Consider the following 8490-nt stretch of genomic DNA (forward strand, 5'->3'; position numbering starts at 1 on the left):
TCACCACACCCACACTCTGCCTCGTAAGTCATAATTAGGATGAATCAGCATATTATCCTCTCATTGAATTACACTGCATTCTGATACAGGACTTATCTCTATAATTTTATTTTGAGACAGGGTCTCACTTTGTCGCCCAGGCTGGAGTGCAGTGGTACAATCTAGGCTCACTGAGGCCTCGACCTCCTGGGCTCAAGCCACCCTCCCACCTCAACCCTCGCAAGTAGCTGGCATTACAGGCAATGCCACCATGCCCAGCTAATTTTTATATTTTTAGTAGAGACGGGGTTTCACCATGTTGGCCAGGCTGGTTTTGAACTCCTGTGCTCAAGTGATCCGCTGGCCTGGGCATCCCAAAGTGCTGGGATTACAGGCGTGAGCCACCACGCCCAGCCTCTCTATAATTTTATATTAGTGAGGTTGTTTGCTGAATGTCTTTATTCTTCACTCAAATGAGGTCATATGGCTGGGCCCTAACCCAGGGCAGGACTTTGTCTCCTTCATTACTGACTGTATTCCCAGAGCAAGGCCCGGCACACTGTGGCCCCTCAATAAATGTCAAATATCGGTGAATGGGGAAGAAGCGGAGGAAAGACGGCTTCACCGGGAAATTCAGAGCAACTACACGGCCTGCTTCCTGAGAGCCCAACGGGTCAGAGGGGACGCTCTGGGGGTCAGAAGGCAAATGCCCCAGGCTCAACAGAGGCAGAGTGGGAGCAGGCTCTGGGACAGGTGGCTGGGCAAGGCCACCTGGACTCCCCAAAGGAGTGCTCCTAAGCCTGGGAAAGGGAGGGAGAGCTGGCTGGGGTCTTCTCTCATCTCAGGGAGGCCTGGGTTGATGCTGAGCTGCAGATGGGAGGGAAGCTGGGCCCACAGCGAAGGTGTGAAGGGCCAGCAGATTCTCCCCACTCCAAGGCCCAGACACTATTCACATTGAGTCTCTGGCAGGAAGGAATGGAGGAAGGGCGGCCTGCATCTACACCCCAACAGAGTTGGGGACCACAGCCTTCCTCTTTCCTGGGGAACTCAAATGACCTCAAAACTTGAAAACTTGATGGGATCAAGCTGTCCTTTCCCTGAGACAGGTCTTTGCTCATCTGACTTCAGTGATGGGAATATGCCCATACTCGCTTATTCTAGGTAGCAGAGTACCTTATGTTTCCTTGAAACATTTCATTTCTTCTTTATTATTATTTTTTTTTTTGAGATGGAGTTTTTCACTCTTGTCGCCCAGGCTGGAGTGCCCGTGGTGGTGAGAGGTGAAGCCAGCTGGACTTCCTGGGTGGAGTGGTGACTAGGAGAACTTTTCTGTAGCTAACTAGAGGTTTGTAAAATGCACCAATCAGTGCTCTGTAAAAACACACCAATCGGTGCTCCGTAGCTAGCTGGAGATTTGTAAAATGGACCAATCAGCACCCTGTAAAATGGACCAATCAGTGCTCTGTAAAATGGGCCAATCAGCAGGACATGGGTGGAGACAAATAAAGGAATAAAAGCTGCCTCCCCGACCAGCCCATCCCCACCCCAACAAGCCAGCAGCAGAAACCCGCTTAGGTTCCGTTCCACGCTGTGGGAGCTTTGTTCTTTTGCTCTCCACAATAAATCTTGCTGTTGCTCACTCTTTGGGTCTGCACCACCTTTAATAGCTGTAACACTCACCACAGAGGTTTACGGCTTCATTCTTGAAGTCAGCGGGACCACGAACCCACTAGAAGGAACCAACTGCGGACACAGTGGGATCTCGGCTCACTGCAACCTCTGCCTCCTGGGTTCAAGCAATTCTCCTGCCTCAGCCTCCCAAGAAGCTGGAATTACAGGCGAGCACCACTACACCTGGCTAAGTTTTGCAGTTTTAGTAGAGACGGGGTTCCACCATGTTGGCCAGGCTGGTCTCGAACTTTTGGCCTTAAGTGATCTGCCCGCCTCAGCCTCCCGTGAGCCACCATGCCCGGCCTCAAAAATTTCATTTCTGAGCACGTTTTCCAGAAATCAGCGACTGTAGTTAGGTTAAGGGCATGCTCCTCTATGGCAACGACTGTGGTTTACTTGTCTTTGTACTACTAGTAACTAACGGCACGGCCCCTGGCAAGGTAAGAGGAGACCAACAGAGAATCCTATTTAACATTCTAACATTTTCTGAGTTAAGCATTTCTTCCAGTTTACAAATGAGGAAACAGGCATGGAGAGGTAAGGTGACCTGCCCAAGACTACACTGCCATCTGCTGGTCCTAGACAGCTGGGACCAGAAGCAGTGTGGTTGTAGAGTCTCGTTCTTTTTTTTTTTTTTTTTGAGATGGAATCTAGCTCTGTTGCCGAGGCTGGAGTGCAGTGGCGCAATCCTGGCTCACTGCAACCTCCACCTCCCGGGTTCAAGCGATTCTCATGCCTCAGCCTCCTGAGTAGCTGGAATTATAGGTACGTGCCACCACTCTTGGCTTTTTTTTTTTTTTGTATTTTTAGTAGAGACGGGCTTTCATCATGTTGTCCAGGCTGGTCTCGAACTCCTGACCTCAGGTGATATGCCTGCCTCGGCTTCCCAAAGTGCTGGGATTACAGGTGTGAGCCAACACACCTGGCCAGGACTCCCATTCTTAACCATTATACTGTACTAGAAAGGAGGCGAGGACAAGGGAGATGGAGAAAGTGGAGAACAGAACAATAGTTTTCCGGAATTCATTGCGATCTTTACCTGAAGCACAGCAAAGTCACTGGGAACTTATCCAAAGCTGTAGCCTGGGTGGGCAGAAGGCATGTATTAAGGAGAGGGTAAAGAGTTAAGACTTGCTTACCAGTGCCCAGTAGATGAAAAGCCCTGGAAGGTGTTAGGGAACAGCCACAAAATGAAATGGTCTTTTCAGTGCCACTTAACCTCACAAGGTGGTGATACAGTCGGGGGATTCAGGGCTATCACCAGAGTGCCTGCTGGGCCAGGTACCAGCTGCACACCTCACATTTTAGATCCCTGTTTTATAATCAAAAGTAGAAAATTAAGTTTGGGCCTGAAGCAAGAGTCACAATCTGGCATGTGAGGACTAAATATTTCTGAGTTGGTTGGCAACATGTGTTATCTAGGAGATTTTACATAAAAATGTACATTTCCTTGCTTCTCTTGAAGAGTGGAAGCTTGGCCTGGTGCAGGGGCTCACTCCTGTAGTCCCAGCACTTTGGGAAGCTGAGGCGGGCAGATCACCTGAGCTCAAGAGTTCGAGACCAGCCTGGCCAATATGATGAAACTTTGTCTCCATGGAAAATACAAAAAATTAGCCAGGCATGGTGGCATGCACCTGTAGTCCCAGCTACTCAGGAGGCAGAGGCACGAGAATTGCTTGAACCTGGGAGGTGGAGGTGGCAGTGAGCCGAGATTGTGCCATTGCACTCCAGCCTGGGTGACAAGAGGAAAACTCTGTCTCAAAAAAAAAAAAAAAAAAAAAAAAAGTGGAAACTCACGCATGCTCAGACCTTGACTGCCTACCAACCACTCCAGTGGTCGGGGTCTGGCCCCAAGAGACCATGAATGTCTTACCAATTCATTCATTGGAACCATGCACCCCTGACTCCCTGTTCTCGCCTTGACACTGAAGCCAAATGCCACTTGTCTTATGCTGGCCTCCTTTCACATGAGTACATCACAGTTGCAGCCCCTGCTCCAGATGCATGACGAAATGTAACTGAAGGGGACAGTCCCAAGGTCCCTCTACCACGACTATCGGGATTCTTGGGAAGTCTCCCCATCTTACCAAGTTAGTTTCCCCAATTAAAAAGATATTGGCCGGGCGTGGTGGCTCACGCCTGTAATCCCAGCACTTTAAGAGGCTGAGGCAGGCGGATCACAAGGTCAAGAGATTGAGACCATCCTGCCCAACATGGTGACACCCTGTCTCTACTAAAAATACAAAAATTAGCTGGCGTGGTGGTGCGTGCCTGTAGTCCCAGCTACGTGGGAGGCTGAAGGAGGAGAATCGCTTGAACCCGGGAGGCGGAGGTTGCAGTGAGTAGAGATTGCACCACTACGCTCCAGCCTGGCGATAGAGCGAGACTCTGTTCCAAAAAAAAAAAAAAAAGATATCACCTCTCTGGCAAGTTTTCTGTGAAAATCAAATGAGATGATAAGATAACTTGCTTTGAAAAGAAGCCATTGAACTAACATCCCTCTATTGGCTTATTATTTACGGTAGTGAAAAACTAGAAAGAATCTGTGTCTGATAGAAGGGTGTTCATAACCATGAAGTGCTATGTAGACTCTAAATAAGGAAGCAGTAGATACCTGTGTACCCAGATGGAAGGGAGCCCAGGGCATAGTAACTTAAAAAAGCAAGCTGCAGACTGGGCGTGGTGGCTCACGGCTGTAATCCCAGCATTTTGGGAGGCCGAGGCAGGTGGATCACCTGAGGTCAGGAGTTCAAGACCAACCCGACCAACATGGTGAAACCTGGTCTCTAATAAATACAAAAAATTAGCTGGGCATGGTGGCGGGCACCTGTTAATTCCAGCTACTCAGGAGGCTGAGGCAGGAGAATCGCTTGAACCCGGGAGGCAGAGGTTGCGGTGAGCCGAGATCGTGCCACTGCACTCCAGCCTGGCTAACAAGAGTGAGACTCCTTCTAAAAAAAAAAAAAAAAAAAAAACAAGCTGCAAAACATTCTGTATATTACGGTGTGATTTTTATTTTATTATTATTATTATTCTTGAGACGGAGTCTCACTCTGTCACCCAGGCTGAAGTGCAGTGGCGCGATCTCAGCTCACTGCAAGCTTCGCCTCCCGGGTTCAAGCTAGTCTCCCGCCTCAGGCTCCTGAGTAGCTGGGACTACAGGTGCCTGCCAACACACCCGGCTAATATTTTGTATTTTTAGTAGAGACAGGGTTTCACTGTGTTAGCCAGGATGGTCTGGATCTCCTGACCTCGTGATCTACCCGCCTTGGCCTCCTAAAGTACTGGGATTATAGGCATGAACTACCGCACCTGGCCTTTTTTTTCTGAGATGGTTTCGCTCTTGTTGCCCAGGCTGGAGTGCAATGGCGCGATCTCGGCTCATTGCAACCTCCGCCTCCTGGGTTCAAGTGATTCTTCTGCCTCGGCCTCCGAGTAGCTGGGATTACAGGCATGCACCATCATGCCTGGCTAGTTTTGTATTTTTAGTAGAGACGGGGTTTCACTGTGTTAGCCAGGATGGTCTCGATCTCCTGACCTCGTGATCTGCCCGCCTTGGCCTCCCAAAGTGCTGGGATTACAGGCGTGAGCCACTGCACCCAGCCATTTTTTTTTTTTTTTTTTGAAACAGGGTCTCGCTCTGTTACCCAGGCTGGAGTACAGTGGTGCGATCATGGCTCACTGCAGCCTCAACCTCTTGGGCTCAAGCAATCCTCCCGCTTCAGCCTCCCAAGTGGCTTGGACTACAGGTGTGTGCCATCACACCTGGCTAATTTTTTAAATTTTTTGTAGAGACAGGTCTGTGTTGCCCAGGCTGGTCTCAAACTCCTGGGCTCAAGTAATCCTCCTGCTTCAGCCTCCCAAAGTGCTGGGATTATAGGCATAATCCGAGCTACCATACTCAGCATGATCTCAACATGATCTCATTTTTATTAACAAAAATTACTTATTTTTTGTGTTTATAAGGAAAAATCCGGCCAGGTGCGGTGGCTCACGCCTGTAATCCCTGCACTTTGGGAGGCCGAGGCTGGCGGATCACGAGGTCAGGAGATCCAGACCATCCTGGCTAACATGGTGAAACCCCGTCTCCACTAAAAATGCAAAAAATTAGCTGGGCGTGGTGGCGGGTGCCTGTAGTCCCAGCTACTCGGGAGGCTGAGGCAGGAGAATGGCATGCACCCAAGAGGTGGAGCTTGCAGTGAGCCGAGTTTGCGCCACTGCACTCCAGCCTGGGTGACAGAGCGAGACTGCGAGACTCCGTCTCAAAAAAAAAAAAAAAAAAAAAAGAAAGAAAAAAGCAAAATCCTGGAAGCATATGACCCCATCTGTTATCAATGGGCTGTGGGATGGGGCATTCGCTCACTTTTAACCATGACTTACTGTTGTTACTAGCGACTTTAATGAGTGCTTGCCAGGGGCAGTAGCTTGGCTATTTGTTTGTGCATTTATTCTTTTTTGAGACGGAGTCTTGCTCTGTCGCCCAGGCTGGAGTGCAGTGACGGCATCTCGGTTCACTGCAAGCTCCGCCTCCCAGGTTCACGCCATTCTCCTGCCTCAGCCTCCTGAGAACCTGGGACTACAGGCACCCGCCACCACTCCCGGCTAATTTTTTTTTTTGTATTTTTAGTAGAGACGGGGTTTCACCTTGTTAGCCAGGATGGTCTTGATCTCCTGACCTCGTGATCCGCCCGCCTCGGCCCCCCAAAGTGCTGGGATTAAAGGCGTGAGCCACCGCGCCCGGCTGTGCATTTATTCTTTTTGTAGAGATGGAGTCTCGCTATGTTGCCCAGGCTGGTTTTGAACTCCTGGGCTCAAGCAATCCCCCTGCCTTCGCCTCCCCATGTGCTGGGATTACAGGCATGAGCCACCACACCCGGCCCCTTTGGCTAGTTTTTGAGACAATCTCTCATCTTCCCAACTGTACGGGGCAGGTGCTTTTGTTTCCATTTAACAGATGAACAATCTGGGGCTGAGAATCAAGTAATTTGTCCAAGGTCACAGGGGTGCTGATGGTAGACTTGGTATTACCGGATTAGGGAATCCTTAAAACAAAGATTTCCCCAACATACTCTAAGCCTTTTGAAGAACCACCTAAATGTTTTGCATTTAATAAAAAAAAATTAAGGCCAGGCGTGGTGGCTCACGAGGTCAGGAGTTCGAGACCAGTCTGACCAACATGGTGAAACCCCATCTCTACTAAAAATACAAAAATTTGCCAGGCGTGGTGGCACGCGCCTGTAATCCCAGCTACTCAGGAGGCTGAGGCAGGAGAATTGGTTGAACCTGGGAGGCGGAGGTTGCAGTGAGCTGATACCATACTGCTGTACTCCAGCCTGGGCAACAAGAGTGACACTCCATCTCAAAAAAAAAAAAAAAATTCAAACCCTCACCTGATTTTGTAAACAAGTCATTGCTGTCAGGTGTTTCGGGCTCCAGGCACATCCCATTCTAGGGAAGGGCAGGTTAGTGGCACTCTCAGGGCTGAATGGCCACAGGTAGGCTCCCCTCACCTGGGTCCTTCCCTGACCGCCAAGGGGGAACCTCTAACAGCACAGGGCCCTGCTACTGAAACAGGTGCTGGCACCAACTTCAAGTGGCAGGGCCCCTGGTGAGCGGACTCAGAAGTTGTATTAGAATTCCTGTAAAGTCGCTCTGAGGGACTTGGCGGTCATTTGTGTTGGATGGTGACAGAAATGTCTACTGAATACTTACCCGCCAGTGTGTGTGGAATGGTGAGGCCTCCAGTGAGAAATGAAGTATGGCTCCTGTCTTCATGAAGCTCTGTCCCAGAGGTGGAATTTAAACCAGGGCACCCCAGGGTCCACCTTAGTGACCCCTCAAAGGAATATGTTCTACAGGACTACGGGGTCAGGTTGGCCTGCATGAAAACACAACTGTCCTACTTATTAGCCACATGAACAGAAGAACTGCAGCTTCTCTGTGCCTCAGTCTATCTTCCTATGCTACCAGTTGCTGGGAGGACGAATGCAGTGGCTGTGGCTGATTAATAAATGGTGGCTTTGTTTTCTTAAAAGCAGAATAGGTCGGGCGTGGTAGCTCACGCCTGTAATCCCAGCACTTTGGGAGGCTGAGGTGGGCGGATCACCTGAGGTCAGGAGTTCGAGACCAGCCTGGCCAACATGGTAAAACCCCGTCTCTACTAAAAATAGAAAAATTAGTCAGGTGTGATGCCAGGTGCCTGTAGTCCCAGCTACTCGGGAGGCTGAGGCGGGAGAACTGCTTGAACCCAGAGGGCAGAGGCTGCAGTGAGCCGAGATCCTGCCACTGCACTCCAGCCTGGGCAACAGTGAGACTCCATCTCAAAAACAAACAAGCAAACAAACAAAAACAGCAAACTGTCTAGAACAGTCCTGCCACTGCCTGTGATGATGGAAATGTTTTGTATCGGCACTGTCCAATAGGATAGCCACCAGTCACTTGAAATGTGGCTAGTGAAACCGAGGTACTACATTTTTGTTATTTTAAGAGGGAGTTTCGCTCTTGTTGCCCAGGCTGGAGTGCAATGGCATGATCTCAGCTTACCACAACCTTCACTTCCCGGGTTCAAGCAATTCTCCTGCCTCAGCCTCCCGAGTGGCTGAGATTACAGGCATGCACCACCACGCGGGGCTAATTTTGTATCTTTAGTAGAGACGGGGTTTCTCCATGTCGGTCAGGCTGGTCTCAAACTCCCAACCTCAAGTGATCCGCCTGCCTCGTCCTCCCAAAGCGCTGGGATTACAGGCATGGAGAGGTAAGGTGAGCCACTGGCTGGGCCCATATTTAGTTATTTAAACAAAAAAAGCTACAGTGCCTAGTGGGTAACTGTATTGGACAACT

General features: G+C 49.8%; 1 annotated feature.

Moving 5' to 3' along the window:
- Window positions 3241–3740: an enhancer, noted in NCBI's record as "H3K27ac hESC enhancer chr11:47476965-47477464 (GRCh37/hg19 assembly coordinates)". NCBI's record gives its function as "activates a minimal SCP1, AML or CMV promoter by ChIP-STARR-seq in primed H9 embryonic stem cells {active_cell/tissue: H9 hESC(primed)}" and the evidence as "EXISTENCE:reporter gene assay evidence [ECO:0000049][PMID:30033119]".

The sequence above is a fragment of the Homo sapiens genome, chromosome 11 (assembly GCF_000001405.40).
Source record: "Homo sapiens chromosome 11, GRCh38.p14 Primary Assembly".
Classification (NCBI taxonomy): domain Eukaryota; kingdom Metazoa; phylum Chordata; class Mammalia; order Primates; family Hominidae; genus Homo; species Homo sapiens.